The following is a 21249-nucleotide window of genomic DNA, read 5'->3' on the forward strand; positions in this document are numbered from 1 at the left end:
GCTAGGGGAGAATCCATTCCTTGCCTCTTCCAGCTTCTGGTGGCTTCCAGCTTTCCCTGCTTATGGTTACTTTACTCCAATGATCAAGGCCAGCATCTTCAAATCTCCTTTTGCTCTGTCTTCACATGGTCTTTTCTTTTCCATGGGTTAAATCTTCCTCTGCCTTTCTCTTATAAGGACATTTGTGGTGGCATTTAGGGACCCACTCACTCCTTACTTTAAAATCCTTAATTTAGTCACATCTGCAAAGACCATTTCCCCAAATAGGGTGACATTTACGAGGTTCCATTGATTCCAATCTGCTGTCTTTGGGGGGCAATGATTCAGCCTCCTACACTTGCTCTGCCCACTATTTTCATTAATGACTAAGTAATGGGATTCTAGATGATGTACCCTAGTGTACTTTTCTCCACACTCCCTGACACAGGAATAATGATACTGTGTAATACTTGAGTGTTGGAAAACTATCAACTAAATAACACTATCAAGAAAACACTGCCTAAAGAAGCAGGCTTTGGCAAGTAGGGCTCAGAGAGGGAGCTCATAACTGCATGATAATACTTCCCATAAATTATAGTAATGTTAATTGTCTCCCTCAAAGCAAGGCCATTAAGCCGCTTACTGCTTCTACCTTAATAATTTATTTTGATATTTCTTGTGGCCCTACCTTTTCAACGGTCTTTTACTTTTTACCCAGAGGGGATGTAAACACCTCCCTGACAGTCCTTTGTTGTATATTTCATCTCTAAGTATAACAGGAGAGGGAAGCAAATGACCAAATAGGTCGTGATAAGCTCTGCAGCCAACCAAGACAAAAGGCTCTAGAAGACTACAGTAGGAAGAGCTTCATTCGGAAATACAAATCCTAACACATGGAAAAAAGTAAGTAGATCTACATGCCCTATCTAAACAACTGAACTGTCAGTGACTTTGTCACTAACCAGGAAGAGATTTTCTGTTTTATTTATTTCCACTGTGCTGAGGTAAGACCATCCTCAACATGAAAGAAGGCGTTTCATTCCTTCAACACATTTCTATGAATCTCCTACTATATGCCAGATATATTATGTACCAAGCACTGATTAATTTAGCTGCTTTCTTTCACCCTCTCTGACTATAGTTTTTCATGTAATTTGCAGGGTCAAAACTTTGCAAAGTCCTATGCTTGGCCATTTAAATCTGAGCCAAGGTCACATAAGGACAATTTAGTTAGAGTGGGAGAGAAAGGAAAAAACAAGAAAGCTAAAAAGTTACATAAATGTCCTCTAGCAAGCAGGTTCCTTGTTCTGAGGGCTAATGTACTGTAGCAATTCATCAGTCATTCTAATAGTCTTTTAACTTCTGTCAGAAAGTCTACTGAATGCTAACATTTTAAATGTTTAATATTCTAAAACATATTTTCATTAATCATGCAAATTATCTGGACATCCGTATTTTACAACAACCTCTTTTGAGACTAAGAGGCCTAAGAGTTTGTGTATGAGAGCCTGATGTTAGCAAGTGATACTGTAGATGAAGTATAACTTAGAATCAAAGAATTTTAGATGTGAAAAACTGCTAATGTAATTTCAGTATCTATGTGTTATCATATTTATACACACCCTCCAAAATGCTATTAATGTCAGATATTTCTAATTAGGTAGCAAGCAGCCTAAAATATGCACTTCCTTCATTCTGCTTTATCATATGGTTGCTGGATGCATATTAATATTGTTGGGTGGTACATTTTCCCAATAGAATTGACCCTGTGTTTCATAGTAAAGTGGACACTGGATTTTGTTATTAGTAAAGGAGAAAAGAAGTGTTAATTGCAGTTAGGTTGGCCTGAACTGCAGCATGAAAACCTCCATTTATATGCTGCCAGTCACTCCAATTCCAGAATTTCTTAGCTTCTTGGAAAAAGGAGAAGTATATGTCTGGGCCCCATGAAACAGGTGGATTAAGAATTGAAAGGGTACAAGACATGAATTTTGATGGAGTTAGTGGAAATTCTTTACCCTTTTTTCTTTTCTTTCTCCTCTCCTCTCCTCTCCTCTTCTTTTCTTTTCTTTCTTTTCCTGAAGCAAACTGATTGCCAGCAAGGCTGGTGGCTGGTAGTGAAATAGAAAAAAATGACCTGAGACCATGTAAGTGTAGTTATACCGGAGCCATAGAGCTCACTGCTTTCAAGAACATGGCCTAAGTAATTTGAAGCCATGGCCGGGCGCGGTGGCTCACGCCTGTAATCCCAGCACTTTGGGAGGCCGAGGCAGGGGGATCACAAGGTCAGGAGTTCAAGACCAGCCTGACCAACATGGTGAAACCATGTCTCTACTTAAAAAAAAATACAAAAATTGGCCAGGCTTGGTGGTGCACACCTGTAATCCCAGCTACTCAAGAGGCTGAGGCAGGAGAATCTCTTGAACCAGGGAGGCTGGGCAACAGAGTAAGACTCCGTCTCAAAAAAAAAAAGAAGTCATGAGGTCATGAGCATTGGTGGATCACTGTACTTGCCCAGCTACCAGCAGGAAACACAATCAAATTAGGAAATCCCAGGAAGGCTTATTTATAAAGGGACTAATTACAAAGGTGTGGGCAGAGTAGAGGGCAGGGGAACCAATAAGGGCTGCACTGGTAGTGGGAGCTAAGAGCTACAGAGCTGTTACTCAATCTAGACCCTAAGAGATCAGGAGGAAGAGCAATTACTAGAATCTCAAGGAAGGAGAATCATGTAAAAGGTCACCTTGAAAGGACTAGCAACCTTTGATTAAGGGAAGCACCAGCACAAGGTGATCTCACAGGGAAAACAAATACCCTGACCTCACTCCTCAGGGAATGAGGGGACTTTCTGCTCACTGAGCCCAACAGGAACCTCAGGGCACAGAACTGGAATGTAGTAGCTTATACAGGTGAATATATCTGAGTGAATATCCAGGCTTCACAAGTGGAGAGTAGATTGGAGAGGAGAGTCAGAAACATCTCATTTTGGTATGAATGCTACTTCTTTCATTGTACGCTACCAAAACTCACAGCCACCCTTCCAGTGATTTTATACAGTTTCACCATGTTGGCCAGGCTGGTCTCGAACTCCTGAGCTCAGGTGATCTGCCGGCCTTGGCCTCCCAAAGTGCTGGGATTACAGGAATGAGCCACCATGCCCGGCTGTATATATATATATTTACCATTTCCTATCTTTTCTTTTCTTTGTCTAAACTAAATTTCTAGCAGCATTGCTGTATCTTCAGTACACCAGCATGAACCACCTTAGCCCCTGAGTAATCAGATATTTTTTTAAAACATACAAATGTGATCCAGACAGTTCATTATTCTCCCTATATCACTATTTCAGTGTAACAGTGTGCTTTTAAACGTCTGTAGTTTGTATTGCTAAAGGAACACTTAAGACCTCACTTTTTTACATTGTTTGCCTTCTAATTATATTTTTCTAGTAAAATATTTAACCATTACTTCCTGAATCACGGATTCTAAGGTGCAATAAAAATCCAAAGGGAAATATATTTGTTTCCTACAGAGACAGTTTTTTTTTTTTCCCAGAGCATTTTCAATGACTGCTGCAGAAACGAATGAGTAAAGGTTTCCGAAATGAATAGTTGCAGAAAACCAACTTACTGTCATACAGAAGTCCATGCAGCCCCCGGGTAAAAGTACTTATGTATCTCCTTTTGTTGAGTTCTCTATTTTTTTTTATGAATATGCATATTGGGGGATAAACTTCCATCTGCTCTCTTTTAGCTGATTCTATCACATTTTTGAGCTTTGCATCATTATGGAGCTTCAGAGAAAGATGATCATTTACATTACATATGGATATAAAGGAGAGAAGGAGTTGATGAATTGCAAACAAGTATAATTTATATGGACAAAGTGTGCCAGAAGTGCTTTTCACCCCATTTTACTCGGCAACTGGAATGATTCCTGCCCATTCACTTGGCCTAGTGCCCAAGAACTCAGAAAGGAAATGATCCTGTTAGCCTTACACATCAGGATTCTACTCCTGCCCTATGAGGAAATGCTGCTTTGCACTCAGGCCCATCAGGGACCCCAGAAGGTCAAAAGAAACCACTGAATATACTAATGTCATTTTTTTACTTTCTTCCCTCATGGTTTCTTAACTTATAATTTATGTCACACAGACCTTCTGATACTCTAACTGTTGGTAATTCAAATGTGAGAAGTTTGCATGACGAAGATAGGGAAGGAAGAGTTATGAAAAGGTCATATATGTTCCTGGTAGCTTCTCAGCCTCTTTCTGCACTTCGATTTCCCATGGCAGATTATTTGCCTAAATGCTCTTAAGCTTTATAAATAGGTAAATATCTACATTTAGGCGGCCTTCCTGAGGGCTTCTCTGTTGCCTATAGCACAATGAGTTGTGACTCCATAATTTATCAGAGACCAGGGTCCAAGGTGCACTAATAGCAGTAATAACCCCAAAACTTTTATTTTTTCACTTATTCATTAGGCATTTATTTATAAATCCTTCATTCTTCAAAAATGAGTACTCCGGCTGGGCACAGTGGCTCATGCCTGTAATCCCAGCACTTTGGGAGGCCAAGGCGGGCAGATTCCCTGAGCTCAGGAGTTCAAAACCACCCTGGGCAACATGGTGAAACCCAGTCTCTACTAAAATACAAAAAGTTAGCCAAGCATGGTGCTGCCCACCTGTAATCCCAGCTACTTGGGAGCCTGAGGTGGGAGAATCACTTGAGCCCAGGAGGCAGAGGTTGCAGTGAGCCAAGATCCTGCCACTGCACTCCAGTTTGGGTGACAGAGTGAGACTCCATCTCAAAAAAAAAAAAAAAAAAAAAAAAAAAGAGTACTCCTATCATGAGCTAGGTGTGAGGAATGAAAGCTAAATATAGCACAGCCTCTCCGTAAGCTGGTTAGGAGTAAACAAAGATATTCTTTCATGAAGAAATGGTCATTCATCTGAGAAGTCCTCTTAAGCCAGCTGACTCTCTCTCATTGCTTCTGACAAACACAGTTGTCATAGCTCTGAGACAATTTGTGTCTTAAGAATTTCAAATGCCTGCAAGTCCATGCCTGCATTGTGGCAGCATGTGCACTGCTTCCACTGAATGTCCAGACATCAATGAATAAAAATGAAGTAGTGGATATAATAGCAGTAGTTGTTTTTATGCACATACTACATGCGTCGTGCTGTGTGCTTTACACACATTATCTCATTTAATTGACAACATTTTGTAGATTAAAAAAAAAAGACTAAGCTTAGAGGATAAATGACCTGCCCAGTCACACAATTCTCAAACCAGATGCTTCAACTCCATGATCTCCTCCAGTCTCTATGTTTAGGTGAACATTGGGTGTGATCAGAGAAATTCGGCAGTTAAATAGGAGGTAACATAAAAAGAGGGTTGCTTTTATCTCATTTCCATAGCCAAAAAACCTGGTCAAGTTTAGAAGCTGCTGTTCTTTTACCTACATTTAGTCCCTATTCGTTTTGCTCTCAACCTTTACGTGATTGTAGCGTGACTTCCCACTTTATGAAAGAGTACTTGAAGTCTGTATGCAAATTATTCAAGTTTTTTGATGGTTGTGGGGAGGATGGAAGTGCGTGCGTGTGTGAGGTGATGGAGTATCTAAAATTTCTTCCTATTATTTTTCTCAGAACTTCTGCTTGTAACGGAAGTTTCTCAACATGAAATGTCATCAATTTGGCCTCATTCAGGAAGTTGCAGGGCACTTGACTGTAACCTCAGTAAATTGTACGTTTTCTGAAATCCTGATAATCTTTAGCTGCCTATCATTTTGAAATTTTAAAAGTTATTTTATTTCTGAACTAACTCCCTTGGCAATTTAATTGATTAAAAGAGAAAAGATTATAATGAAATACTTCAGAATGTAGATATATTCATCTGTACATTACAAGGGGAACTCAGAATTTAAATGATCTGATTTTTGTATTCATCAAAAAATTACTATGAGGATTTTATTTATTTATCTGGAATAAAATTCCTCTAACCATGCATATTGTCACAACATACTTGAATTTACAAAGATACGGAATCTCTGGGATCAGAATAACGGTATATTCTGATCTGTGTATATATGAAAGACTCAGTGGGTTCCAATGAGAGAAGCTATGCTATGATTCTCATGCGGTTATATAGTTAAAAAGACCTTTGTTGGCATAGTCTTGGACAGCATACATGTTCCAACTTTAAATATTGCTGAGTGAATAAATAAACATATGAGACTGGGAAATGTCGTCAGGGTTCAACCTAGAAACACAAAGCCAGTATCATGATCTTGTAATTATTATAATGTTAATCCTTTAGCCATCTTAAAAGGCTTGGACTCATGTCTCTCACTCAGCCAAAAGCAGCAGAAGGTCCAAGTTCCTCAGCTACCTCCCAACCTTGGATGAGCCGTTTCTTATCTTTCCGCTGCTCTTTATTCAGCTTTCCATGGCCAAGAGAAAAACCTGTCTTCCTTCTGTTGATGTTCCCTGCCCCACGTTGAGGGAGCTGAGGCGAGAGCTGCAGAGGATCCGTAAGGAGCTGTGGGTAAGGTGAGGACAGCAGCCCTCCCTTAATGTGGAGTATACGTCCGCTATTCTTGTGTCCTTTTTAGTGCGGAACTCCGTGATGAGGCCTTCCTCCTGACCACTTGAGCCTCATGGTGTCTCCTCTTTTTAGGAATCCAATCTCTCTTCCTGTGCTTCAATCTCCTCAAGGGCTCTGCAGCACTTCCCCTCAAAAGCATTTCCCTAAATCCTTGACTGGGTACCAGACCTTCATTTTTAAGTGATTGAAGTTGTGGCTGAGTATGCGTCATGGGCGATTGCCACCGTTTTAAAGTCAAGTAGTTTGTTAGTTGCTCCCCAACTTACAATTTCCTGGCATCTCCATAAAGAAGCTATCCTGTCTTGATCTCCCTGAGGCAGCAGGTGATTAAAGTTTTAAAATCATGGTTAGTGACTGCTGTGTTTAAGGAGGCCCCAGAATAATCGATTTGGAGTGGTAGCTGTAGCAAGAGTGGGGTCATGATGGAGGCAGCACCTTGGAAAACTGAAATGAAACACCATTTCATGCTGTGAAGGGGGAAGAATAGAGGTAGACATGTGCTTTAGCCTCACCTGGGCACTGCATATGCGGTTAAATCTCAGGGGTCTGGAAAAATATGCCGGACGTTAGCAGTGTAATGTTGTCCTCCAGCATTTGAAATAACACTTTGTGTTTCCTGTTTTTTCCTAAGGTATTACGTTTTATTGGTTAAAAAAAAAATAGGTCACTTTGGAAGGTACTTACCTACAGTACCTATATAAATTGAATGGATCAATTTAAATAGGAAGATGGAATCTGTTATATAGGAATAATCATCATATTCAATGCCCTCTAGCAAATATTTCCTAAGTGCCCACTGTGTGCCAGGTATTATGTTAGGCACCAGAGATTAAAAAGGCTAAACAAAATAATCTCTGTCACAAGGAGGTCACAGTCTTACGGAAGGGCAATTGTCATACAAATATATAAAGCATAATATGACAAGTGCTATGAACCACAATTTACAAGTTGCTATGGAAACACAAAGAAGAGAGCACCAAAGGGAATCATGGAAGGCTTCACAGAGTAAGTGACCTTTAGGATGGAGGAAAGAGGGAGACTTCCTAATGTGGAAAATAGCAGGAGACACTCCAGGAAAATAAATAGCATATGGAAAGTCACAAAGGGAAGAAAATTGCAAGTATATTGTTATGGCTGGAGTGTAGATTGAGAGGTGTGTGTGTATGGTGGTGGTGGTGAGGGGGTAGTTACAATTCATAAGGTAGGTAAAAAGCAATTGGGGAAGACCTTATGCAGCCTGGAAGGAAGTTTGGATATTATACTAAAGACAATGAGAAGCCCTCCAAAACTTTCAAGCAGAAAAGTACCTGATTTGATTCATGGATTAGAAAGATTTATCTGGAGGCTGTGTGGAGGATGGATGAGAAGGTAGGGGGTCAGTTGGAAAGCTACTGCCATTTTCCGTGCATGAGATCATGAGGATCCAAAGCAAGACAACAACCATGGAAATGGATAGAAGGCCATGAATATGAAAGCATTTGTAGAGGTAGGATCCATAGGGCTTGATTACTTATTGAATTTGTATGAGGAGGATATATGTGAGATGAAGCAAGAAGTGATTTTCTGCTTTGATGACTGGCTGGGTGATAGTAGCAGTAAAGAGGAGTTGGCAATAAAAAAGCAGAAACAAATTTGTAGAGAAAATCGATGGTTTGGTTATGTTGAATTGAAGTTTCCTGAGGGTATCAAGTGAGTCAGATAAACATCACTGGGGTTCAGGGGACAGATGAGTTTGAGGAGGTTGAGATTATTGCTATGGGATGCACTTATATTACAAAAAGTGAGGGGTGTCTGGGAGGAGATATTTTCTCTAAAGTCCAATATTAAAACCCTTAAGTAACATTACTCTGGAAAATGCAATATGCAAATAGTTCTTTTTATTATTAACATTAGGGTATGTCAAATTTTAAAATATTTACACTTAAAGACAAAACATTTCCACAATTATTACAATTGGTTTCACTAAATCAGAAGTGACTACACATTATCTCTACTTTTATACCAGAAAACAAAATGAAGAAATCAACAAAATATAATTACTAAAACTCCACTGTGGATCAGGATAAAATGTGTCCAATATTAACTCACACTTTCCCAATAAGTATAAAAATGAATATAACATTGCTTGGACAACTTGTTTCAACAGCGAATCCTCTATTACTATTTGTTCAATAACATATATAAATTCAAAACTGGCAGGTATGAAAAAAGGTTACTTTGTTTTTTGCAGATACTGTACTTGTAAAATAAAGCCAAATAAAGCATATGTCACACATACCAAAGTCTTACATTTTGCCTTTCTAATACAAGCAAGTGAAATATTAACACATAGCATTTAAAATAATAAATATATATTTTATTGACAGTAATTTGGAATGTTAGAGATACAAAATTTTATGTACAATTATTCAGATTAAAACATTTAAACTTTAGGTTTTATTTACAAATATTTATCTTATCTTCCTCTCCTATTTGACGTTTTAGCTCAAGAAGAGTTAAAATGGAATGCATCTGTAGATATATAGTTGGGAATGCGTGTTCAGTCACTTGGCTCTGTGATAATAATCTTATGTACCATGTCAGACAGATTTTCAGACTCCAGATCCTCTTTGCCATTATCTGAATTTCCTGATGAGATATAGCAACCAGAGTCCCTTGGGCAGTCATCTAACTGTGACTTATTTAAGGAGATGTCTGAGCTCAAGGATAGGGGCTCAGGTTCATTTTCTTGCTCTTGAATAACTGTAAATGGAAAAAAAGGGCAGGAGTTAGGTAAAGCAACACAAAATCTTATTCATGTACTCATTCACTTTCAAGTATTATCCTATTTTAACTGTTCTAACCATGACTTCATTACAATGGAAAGTTCTGCAAGTAAAAGGTATCTTTGTTTATTACAAAAGAGATATTTGCACCCAAATATTCAAGCTACTGTTTTATTAGAAGCCAAAATTTGCCCTTCATTGTTCATTTGCAGTTTCATGGAATTCATGTGAACTTCCCGCATCAGCAAAGATCAATATGGACTCTCATTTTACATTAATAATAAGTTGCCAGAGAAAGCAGATTGTATCCACAGTGTGACTGATGCCTTGTCCAAATACTCCTTAAAGTATCATTAGAAAAAGGCATTTATAGTTTAAATGCACAATCCAAGTCAATAGTGATCTTTGTGAACAATTTTAGATTCATGATAATCTAGATTAATTAATAAATTATCACTATAAGTAAGAATGTACAGTAGGACTTCAATTATTTGGAAGTTAACTAATAAAACTTTAAATATCCAGAATTTTCCTATGTTTGCATGTATCACAAAATAGGCATAAGAAACCAGGTTGCTTTTAGAAAGTAAAACACCAAAATTTCCACTGAATCTACTTTATGAATATTTAGTCTTCCATATCTTTGTCTGTAGTCCTGAAGAATAATCATTTATTTTCAGATTGATAATTCTGCATTCTTAAAGCAGTGTTCTATATTCAACAGGCATTATCTTTTAGAAAAAGATTACTATTAGGGATATAACAAAATATATTTTGGAAGAACCCCTAAGCAGCCTGAAGTTCACATATTACTCTTCTCGATTCCTTTAGCGTCAACTTTCTCTCTGTCCATGTGGTTTCTTGATGGGTGTTTCTGCATCCTGAGCTGAGCTCCTCAGAGAAGAAATAGATCTCAGGTACTGCCTCTTAGCTGCAGTACCATATCTTCCTCTTTCCCCTTCTAACCTTGGGGCTTCACCACTGTAGGCATCTGAATAGCTCCACGTTGAAAGAGCCAAACACACATTTAAGGTTGGGACAAGAACTCTGCCTACAGAGGCTTTGCACTTCATCCCATTCCAGTGAGAATAAAGTAAATCCAAACCTCAGAATCCTTCAAAGAAGGAAAATGTATAATTTTCTTCAATAGGCTATTATAATGCTAATTAATTTATATCTAGGAAATCTACTCTTTATCTTATTTATTTTTTATATATATATATCTATCTTCTTTAAAATGCATTTTCTAGTTTCCATATGTTTTGCTAACATTAGTTTATGATCCACTGTGTGTCCAATTGCCATCAACTTCCATTATAAATGAGAATTGTGCTGTAAGTTACCCTTGTGTTAATGAATTAACTTCTCTTTAATGTTTATAGAATGGTACTAGTTAAGCATCATCCATGGGAGAAATTGAAAAGTGTTACTTAAAATATCTCCTAAATTCTGTAGTTTAGAAGAAAAATACTGGTTGAGAAAGGCTGGAAGAAAATGATAAAAATTGCTTCTTAGTCTGCTCATCTTCAGAATGAGTCATAACAGTTCTTTTAACCTTTTCCTTAAGGCTTGTATTTGCAACAGTGAAACCATATTTATGCCATTCTTCTGAATCTTCACATTTGCCCCACAATTTTAACTATAGATTCAAATATCAGGTATTTGCCTAGTGATATTATAACTAGTTCTAGATATAAGATGACAATTTTAATAGGCACCTATTGTGATTGTTATTTTTAAATTTTAGCTACCATGGAAGCATTTTGTGTGCATTATTCATGACAATCTTTAAGTTTGGGAGGGTTTACTTATTATTCACTAGTCTTTCTGAGTATCAGTCATTCACTCTTCTTTCTAAGCCCTTTTTTTTAATGAAAAGGCAGCACTAAAATGGGACCTCATTCTCTGAAGAATTGCTTTCTATCCTGCCTTGGCTTTTCTATCTTATTGCCACTGAAATGAAATGAGCCAGCTCTGTGTTCCATTATCCAAGTGTTTCTAGAAAAGGCCAGAGGAATTAGTGCTTTTGTATGCATTCTGCCACATCAGCAATGATCATCCTATTTGGAGTGTGAACCTCTTAGTCATAATGATTGTGGGGATAAGGCCACATTTCCCCAGATTATGTTTGGGCCAATATTACCTCAATGCAAAATTAAAAGAACTGATCTACTTCCCTTCACATTGATATCCTAAACAAGACTTGGCATAATAAAAACTGTTTGTTCCCAACACTCTGTTCTATTTAGGTTGATTACCAATTGTGGGGCTCTCTTCAGGATATGAAGCAGAGTCTTTAAGAACTGTAATTTCCAAAATTAGTTCTTTTCCTTTAAAAAAATAAATATTTAGCTTGTTATTTCACTCTCAGAAGCCTCTGTGCATTCACCTCAATGGGGAATAAAGTAAATAAATTAAAAACTGTCTTTACTAGAGAATATGTCATTGTGTAATATTAGTAACAAAAATGTATTTGTTTTTATTTCCACATGAGAAATGCTATATCATGTTCTCTAAATTCTAGGAATGGTTTTGTTTTAAACACAGGTCATTTATTGTAGAAACCTTTCATCTGCAATTTTTATGGAAAAAGAAAATAGTTTCTGAGTATGAAAGTTATGCAGCACGGTAATTTACAGAACAGCAGTAATTTGCTAAATGATTTCCTCGTGAAATGAAAACACGACTGTGCTCCTCAAATGCTTCCTACCAGGCTTGCAATAATTTCAGGCAGGTGATCAGCTGGAACTCTCAACTGTAACTATAAAAAGGCAGGTCATTATGTTATATTACGGAGATGAAAGCTATATCGCATTCACTTTTGTATTTGGAGGATCAAGATTTTCCTCTTCTTGTTTCTTTTCATCCTGACACTAATGACAGGGATTGGCACAAACCTAGGTCTTGTGTTATGGGTGTTTCTTTCCTGCAGAGGAGATGAATTCACATTAATGCATCCACATTTTCTTTCTAAGTCATTTAGTCCCTTCATGTGGCCATGAAACAGAGTAAAGCTAACTGGCCTACCCAGAAATTGAAACCATAACCTTCATCAGTTTTGTCCCATGGTTCAATCATCTGGGCTAACCAGGCAAGTAACACATTGGAATAAGAAACAGGTTTGCCTACAAAATTATGGACTTCCCATAGGATGTTTCAGTGCATCTTTTTATACTAAAACGTTTCTGATAATACGCTAGGTTTAAAAAAGTATACATAATTCATGTATTCTATTATTACAATTATATGAAAACACACATACGCATATAACTTACAAACAAAAGTGTTCAAATTTGTTAATTTTCCCTCTATTTCTCAGGTCATCCACATTGTTTTTAATGAAAGAATTAAAACGGTATAATTTTTCAATAAAGCCCCCAAATGGTTTGTAAATATCTTAAAGGACATACGTATCTAAATTAGAATACACTGAAGAATTATTAAATAATTTGAATAAGGGTCTTTCTTATTGCTGCCAGCTGACAGCAGGCATACTAGGAACTCCAGAAAGCTGTATAATTCTGTACTCTATATAATAAAAATAGAATAACATTTAAAAATTACTTAGGAAATATTTTATCATGAAGAGCTAATTTGCATATTAAAATAATTTATTTCCTACCAAAATTGTTACAGAATTGTATAAAGCCCATGTAAAAACATTTTAAGATAGTTATCAATGTTGAAAGAAAAGGGTGGCATCGTGATGAAAACAGAAGACGTCTAATATAATTATTCACAAAATAATTATATTGGAATTTTGACATTTAATTAATTAAGAAAGGCAATCTCAATTATACTAAAAGTGAAGATAGTTTTAAGGAAATAAAACTGGATCCTTATTCTGGGAAAAAGTTCTACTCTAAGAAGAGAAATCTGCCCCACCTTTACATATTAAAAAATTAAAGATTCAAAAAAATGAAAACTAATTTTTGCTTGACTTTCCCAGATTTCTTTGCCCAAATCATCCAGATTTTGTCTTTACCATCTTGCTTGCCTTAGCTTTCTTTGGGTGAAGTACTGTAAAATAATACAACCTTAAAGGCATAGGAAAATTCCTGGCTAAAGGAATCTCTCAATAAATAATTTTTTAATAAACACAATGATATTTAGATGAATTAAAGGGCATTGGAACTAAAGGAGAGCAAAAAAGGAATTTTGTTAAAATTCATATGAGAATACCTCTCAGCTCCATCAATCATCCTCCTGTTTTTCTCTATCCTGGGGCCATCTCCAAAGTGGCAAAACCCAGGGATACACATCTTAGGATGACTCAAAACCTCAGTCTCAAGTTTTAACCTCACTGGAGTCACTCAAATGAAAACCCAGCCACTGTTCAGGTAACTATGGCTATATTTATTTGTCCAGAGGCAGCGTTATCCAGGGAGGAAATTTTAGTGGACAACATGGCATGTCTCTCAGTTATTTTTTATTTCATCTAAAGCCCATTCTTAAGTTACCTGAACACTTTAATTCTCCTAATAACAGTGAATATTTGGTGTTCATTTCACTTGAATACTAACCCACCTTTTGGAAACACAACAACAAATTAAGAATAGGATTCCATTCATAGGAAAATAACTGGTGGCTTCTGTTCCCCTGAGGCCATGAGAAGATATGGAGTTGAAATGACTTCCCCTCCTCTTGCATATCTCTTTTTGGAGCCTAGCTTCTAACGAGATGTGTACCTGGAAATAAACCTTTTCGCTTTCAGCTAGGGCAATCTCCACTTCCACTGTGCTAGGAACTTCAGCAGAGGCAGAGGCATACTCACTCAAGATCACGATAACTCAGCACCTACCTGGGCAATCTCATTAGACTGCTACTCTCCCCAACCATACACCATATGGAGGGCTTTGGTCCCAGGAAATATTTACCCTCCTCAGTTAAAGTTGTCATATTGTACTGACTATTTTGGTAATGACCAAATAACGTTTAAAACTGTCACACATTATTTAATTAGGGGCCTTGGAAAGTCAAGTTCATATTTCTTATAGGTTAATTAAACCCATTTACATGATGAAGGAGTTAAGAACACATTACCCCAAAATATGCTGCTCTGGCGTATTGACTATTTTGAGTTGAAGGCACTTGAAGAGAGCAGGTGCAAGAATATCACTCTGGCTTTCCCTTTTTTTTTTTTTAAGAGAGAGAGAAATAGGGTCTGGCTAGGTTGCCCAGGCTCGTCTTGAACTCTTGGACTCAAGCAATCCTCCTGCCTCAGCCTCCCAGAGTGGTGGGATTACAGGCATAAGCCACCATGCCTAGTCTGACTTTCCTTCTGCTTCTTAAAAGCAGATGACATTTCCATGTGAAAGCTACCTTCCCTCTACCAGAAGAAAAGTATCATTCTTATCATCAAGGACAGGAAGTTGAGGCAGAGGGAAATCTGTACAAACAAGCCATGTTAAACAAACCCTTATCTATCTAACCACTTCACCCAATTAGCTAGCCTATTTCAAGCTTCTGTGACTTGTCACATTTTCACAACTTATTATTCTTTGTCTAATTCAGTATACAAGTGTTCAACTCTAACTGCATCTTTGGGTCTTCATTTCCCATGAAGCCTCCCTTGTCACATGAATTTTGTGTTAAATAAATTTGTGTGATTTTCTCCTGTTGGTCTGTCCTATGTCAATTTAATTTTCAGCTGTTTTTAAAAGCCTAAGAGGGTAGAGATAAAATTTTGCCTTCCCTATATAGATATGATAAAAAACTAATCTAATTTCATTATGTCTAAAACTATTACTTTTGACAAAAATAGGAATACTGTGCATATTAGTGATCTACAATTTGCTTTCACATTTAACATATTTTTAAAAAACTTTAATATCAGTAAACAGCACGCTATATCATTTTTTTAACATAACACCTTCAAAACTACTTCATTGTTTGGGTATATCTTAATTTATTTAACAGGTTAATTATTGATGGAAGTCCCTATTGTTTTTAGTTTTTACCCAAAACTACTAGATTTTTAGTTAGTATTTTTGTGCATTCGTATCTTGAATTTTGTAGGACAAATACTTAGAACTGGAATTTCTGGATACAAAAGTGTGCATATTTTAAACTTTGATTGTGTTTCACGTTATTGCCCTCCAAAAATGTACTTATTTACACTCTTGCACACATGCATGGTTAGCATATTCATAAACTAATCTTGACAACATACTCGAATACCGATCTGCTTATTACAAATACTTGTATGTGTGAGGTGGGATTGCAGGCAACTTTATTTTTATAATAATAGAATACTGACTTACTATTTGGGGATCTTTTGACCTCCTCATTCATCATTTACTCATTTTATGTTAACCATCCACTAATGCAAAGCACAGGACTAGGGGCTTTGGGAAAGCATGTGGTAATAGAAGATTCGGTCTTGTTTGGCCAGGGTAATCATTACAAAGCTATGTGTTGTATACAATCCCAGTGCAATATAAACACAGGTACAGGAGTGCTCTATATATACGGCCATTAGAGAGGTCCTTATGTGACTAAAGTGAAAAATCTGTGAACACTTTTCACTGGAAATTTTCTGGTAGAAAAGTGAGAATCCTTATACTTTATTTTATAGTTTTTTGTATGATATAGAATATGGCATCCATCATAAATGAAAGTTTGGAGGTAAAATTAAAAAGAAATCTGAAGAAATTAAATTGCATGAGGGCAAACAACTATGACTATAGATATTAAATACATACAAGTAAAATGCCTGCATGCTTTCTCTACTTTGTGTGGACAGGTAGCATAGCTTTTCTTTAAAGCTGTAGATTTCTTGAATCTAGATGCAAATCATATGGCAAGTGGGTTGGAAACTCCAGGTACACATGTCAGGGGCTAGGCCCAGGCTATGCTGGCACACTGTTAGGCCAACTGCTGGACTGCTGCTTGGCATAAATACAAATCTCCCCTGCTGACAGCTCGTGTTCCAGGCTCCTGGCTGCGGCCCGCCATTTGCCCTGCATCGACTTGGGCAGGCAGGCAGGCAGGCAGGAAGGCACAACTGGGGATGCTTGAGCAATGAGGGGCTGCTGTGACCACAGCTGGTATCAACATTCTGGCACACAACCCACCCTTTCCCCTTCCTCCTCATTTGGCACTGCAACCAGAGTTTGCAGGTACCTCAAATGCATTGTATACAGATTCTGTAAAGTTTGCTTATTCTGTTACTTTGTTTTCAATTTTAAATTTAATTATCCCTGTAATCTAGAGCAAACAAGGTATTTCCATCACCCATTTTCCCCAAGGACAATAGTACACATTCTCATAGACACAATTTTAAGACACATTGGAGTGCTTCTGAATGTGAAAAATGAGGAACAAGTGCAGAATAAAGACAAGATGTTTACTATAAACAACAGTAAACCAGCTTATTATTCTAAAGAGGACTTCAGAGTAAGGCAAAGGGGCCTTGAAGATTGTGTTTATGGAACAACACACACACACACACACACACACACACACACACACACATATTTTCTGTTCTCTTTTTTATTTGGGAATATTGACTTCCAAAGTAAATGAAACATTTTTAAATTCAGATAATAAATAGAAAAACCTAAATGTGCACAAAATAAACAGATCCTGCTCTCTTGTCCCTTCAAGAGCTGCATCTCACTCCAATTTTTCTTCTCCCTATAACCTTATCTAGATTCCCAGTTGAGGGAACCGATGACCTAATTCCTCTCAGTTTAAATGCAACACAGGAGCAAATTCCAAATATCTATGCTGGTCTTGCTGGGATTGCAGAACCCCAGGGTGGTTATCCTCCTCCAGAGGTAATCCTGTGATCAGCACTAACGCCACATACCAGCCCTTTCATCAGCTTGTTGGAGAAGCATCTTTACTTCCCACCAAGCAGTGACCTAGATACCATCTCACACCAGTTAGAATCAGGATCATTAAAAAGTCAAGAAAAAACAGATGCTGAAGAGGATGTGGAGAAATAGGAATGCTTTTACACTGTTAGTGGGAATGTAAATTAGTTCAACCATTGTCAAAGACAGTGTGGCGATCCCTCACAGATCTAGAACCAGAAATACCATTTGACCCAGCAATCCCATTACTGGGTCTATACCCAAAGGATTATAAATTACTCTACTATAAAGACACATGCACACATATGTTTATTGCAGCACCATTCACAATAGCAAAGAATTGCAACCAACCCTAATGCCCATCAATGACAGACTGGATAAAGAAAATCTGGCACATATACACCATGGAATACTACGCAGCCATAAAAAAGGATGAGTTTATGTCCTTTACAGGGACATGGATGAAGCTGGAAACCATCATTCTCAGCAAACTAACACAGGAACAGAAAACCAAACACATGTTCTCACTCACAAGTGGGAGTTGAACAATGAGAACACATGGACACAGGGAGGGGAACATCACACACCACTGCTTGTCAGGGGGTGGGGGGCTAGGGGAAGGATAGCATTAGGAGAAATACCTAATGTAGATGAAGGGTTGATGGGTGCAGCAAACCACCATGGCATGTGTATACCTGTGTAACAAACCTCCATGTTCTGCACGTGTATCCCAGAACTTAAAGTACAATACAAAAAAAAAAAAAAGTGTAATCCAGTTTACATTTTCAAGGTCAAAGTGGGTACAATGCTATCTATCTTGGGCTAAGAAGAGAAAAGGAAAAATTCTTGCTTTAAATCTTAGAAGTCTGGTTTTTTTCCCTGTTTTGTACCCCATCCTCTTGGTCTCTCTAGATATATTTAAGACTCACATAGGACTTGTCTTTTCTACATTATCTCAAAATTTTAGCTCTTATCCTCAAGATATGTGCCCATTTTGCTCAACTTTTATATTGCATGATTAGCAAAGCAAATCCTTTTATGTTCTCAATCTAACAATGAAACACCAAACTAGAAATTTATTGCCATTCCTCAAACTGACATCATTCAATGATCAAAATAAAATGCATCCATAATATCCTAGAAAATTTACATGTCCCATTCTTAAAAAGAAAGGCAAACTATTTTTAACGTTTAACGTGACATGCATTTGTTTTTAAATGTCTCAGTTTTATATAACCATATACTCAAGGTCTTTATCATTCAAGGTACAGGAAGGTTGTGTGTTTAATCTTTAGCATGGTTGTAGGAGATATGATTCACAGAGTAGAAAATAGATAAAAATAAGCATGCAGCCAGTATGGTGCCAAATCATCAGAACTCGACATCTTATTGACAAATGGAAGTCATTCTTCTTTATTTCTTGAGCAAAGCAGTTTCATAAAAGATAAATAGCTTTCAGTCAGAATAGCCTAACCTGCAATATGCATCTTTTTGACATGTATATTCTAATACTACTCTAGACCATAAGATTAAAATAAGAAAAATCTCAGAGTAGTGTGTTGACAAGAAGCACTGGTTGAATCTGTATTTTTTTTTTCCATTTTTCATCTCCCAGAATTTGGCTCTGTGTATGTTTGTACCTTACTGGCTGTCATTAAGTAATCAACTTCTAGTGACCTTCAAGCATCATTTTCTAAAGTTTTATGCAGGGGAATAATTTCTGGGACATGTCCTTTTTTATATCAAACATCAAAAACCATTTAATGCTTTGGAGACACTATGTTTTGTTTTCAGAGACCAGGATAAGGCGGAACATGTTTCTGATAGATGTAAGAGACTGAATTATAGATTTGTGAGCTTGAGAAAGCCACTTAGCTACTTGGATTTTCATCTTCTCACCTTGCAATGGAAGAATTTTGCATCAGGTGTTTCTTTTCTTTTTTTTTCTTTTTAATTACATCGGCTCTATAAATAATTTTACCATCTATGAATAATTGTTCTTTTGCTAGCATAGAAAGGAGACAGGTGATGAGTGAAGTGGAATGAAAAAATTAAGGGGACTCAAGCCTTTGGCACTGAAACCATCTTCCCTCTGTGGGCCCCTGAGGATACTGTTTATTGCTGAAAGTGCTGCTTGCCCAGGTTCCCAGCCCCTTCTCTCCACAAACCCTGTTGACAGGCAGCCATGGAAGCCTCTCGCCTTTTACCTTCTGATATAGAAAACTGAATCAAAGCCCTTGAGAAAATTGGTGAAGTAGCAGAAAACTTCAATTTTCAAATATTCATTGCTTTCATATTGGCCAATTTGCACATGTGGAGGAGTTTTACAGCAGACTCCCTTTGATTAAATCTCCATCTCTGCACTCATCTAGCTGTTCGACTTCTTTGAAATTCATCTCCAAATTTTTGCCTCATCTGCAAATTGGGCAAAATACCTAGATGTGTGCTATTATGGAAGAAAAGCAATCATTTACAAGTGTTCAAAAAATACTCTTCTCCTCCCTGTACTTCATGGTCAAATCATTTTGGAGAGTATTGGCAATGACACTGGACATTGTCCATAATAAAACTCTATAGAATCTACTTCTAAGCCAAACATTGTTTAGTGAGGAGCCACGTCTTGAAATGACAAGATGTGAATGAAACTGACTCCTTTACCTGAACGAACTTACTATATCTGTTTACACTGATCAATTTTGTCTTGACTTGAAATATTGATTAGATTGGCTACTTTCTGAAGCTTGAACTTTGTCTGCCTCTGTGACCACATCTCCCTCTCTTTTGCATCTCCCAGCCTCACAACTTCAAAGAAAGCATATAATAACCTAGGCCTGATGATGAAATCAGTTCTGCTGATGTCAAATTAGTTATGCCTGTGAAAGCTCTTGGAAAAGGATGATAAGAATAAAGTAAAAACCAGTTTCTTAAAAAGTAAACTACTTTTCACTAGATAAAAAGCCAGTGTATAGGAAACGTGTGCTCTACCTCAGTTTTGTGGGACTTATGAGAGAGAGTATAGAATAGCCCACAAAAGGACAATCAGGAGGCCTGGTCCCTAAATAACGCTTTCCTCCCTCCTCACTCTCCATCTGGGCTGTTACTTGTAGTGTTAGAAAGTATAACACAGCAGCACATACATTGGGTTGGAATCCTAACTCTACACTTCACTAAGGGAGTGTTCTTAGACAAGTTACTTGCTGTCTTAACTCATCATAAAAATGAGGGCGGTAGTGTCTAACTCAAAGAACTGGGGTAAGTACTCAAGAGAATAATCAGGAAAGACCCTGGCCCAGAGTCTTGCTCAGAGCACATATGTTTTAAAAATGTAGTTAATAATTACTAGTATTATTTTTACTGCTGGGTGCGGTGGCTCACGCTTGTAATCCCAGCACTTTGAGAGGCCAAGATGGGCGGATCACTTAAGATCAGGAGTTCGAGACCAGGCTGGCCAATATGGTGAAACCCCATCTCTACTAAAAATACAAAAATTAGCCGGGTGTGGTGGCATGCCTATAATCTCAGCTACTCGGAGGCTGAGGCATGAGAATCGCTTCAACCTGGGAGGCGGAGGTCGCGGTGAGCCGAGATCGCACCGCTGCGCTCCACCCGGGACAGCAGATTTAGACACCATCTCAAAAACTAATAATATTAATACTAGTAATTATTATTAGTAGTAGTATTTTTTGATAGAGAAGGCTGGATTTGATTATCTAAGTTCCTTTTTATCTTTAAAGTTAGACTTTCCCCTTTTGGTTGCTCACAAAATACTCCTTGCAGAGTTTGGCAAACCCTAACGTCAGTGTTTGGGGGCCTGACCGGATTTGGCAGGAAAGGCAGTCTGGATGGATAATTATAAAAAATAAAAGCTATCCTATCTTTACAAGCCTGGTTGCTGTAGACAATATTCTGTAAATCTCCAAGATTATTTCATCTTCAGTTAATACTTACAAATACAGAGAACCATCTCAGATAATAAAAGTGAGTGCTGAATATTTTTGCAAGCTATTATAACATTTTGAAAGAGTACTATAAACATGTACAAGATGTGACTATGTGGTCATAAAATGAGTTTTCCTG

General features: G+C 37.5%; 1 protein-coding gene and 1 long non-coding RNA gene across 10 annotated transcripts in view; one reads left to right on the forward strand and one right to left on the reverse strand.

Moving 5' to 3' along the window:
• Window positions 1-543: 543 nt before the first annotated feature.
• Window positions 544-21249, forward strand: part of LOC124905053 (uncharacterized) — a 61200-nt gene continuing 40494 nt past the window's right edge. Inside the window, exon 1 of the long non-coding RNA XR_007067925.1 lies at window positions 544-882. This is a non-coding gene — a long non-coding RNA (uncharacterized LOC124905053). The remainder of the gene's footprint in view (window positions 883-21249) is intronic.
• Window positions 8443-21249, reverse strand: part of SAMSN1 (SAM domain, SH3 domain and nuclear localization signals 1) — a 174190-nt gene continuing 161383 nt past the window's right edge. For 8 of the 9 annotated variants that reach the window (NM_001395858.1, NM_001395857.1, NM_001256370.2 and 5 more), the window contains one exon: window positions 8443-9329. In NM_001395858.1, the coding sequence (NP_001382787.1) occupies window positions 9127-9329 (203 nt within the window). In that variant the 3' untranslated portion in view covers window positions 8443-9126. Of the gene's footprint in view, window positions 9330-16830; window positions 19619-21249 lie in introns of those variants that run through there. The other variant, XM_011529686.2, reaches the window with a different exon arrangement.

This window comes from Homo sapiens, chromosome 21, assembly GCF_000001405.40.
Source record: "Homo sapiens chromosome 21, GRCh38.p14 Primary Assembly".
Classification (NCBI taxonomy): domain Eukaryota; kingdom Metazoa; phylum Chordata; class Mammalia; order Primates; family Hominidae; genus Homo; species Homo sapiens.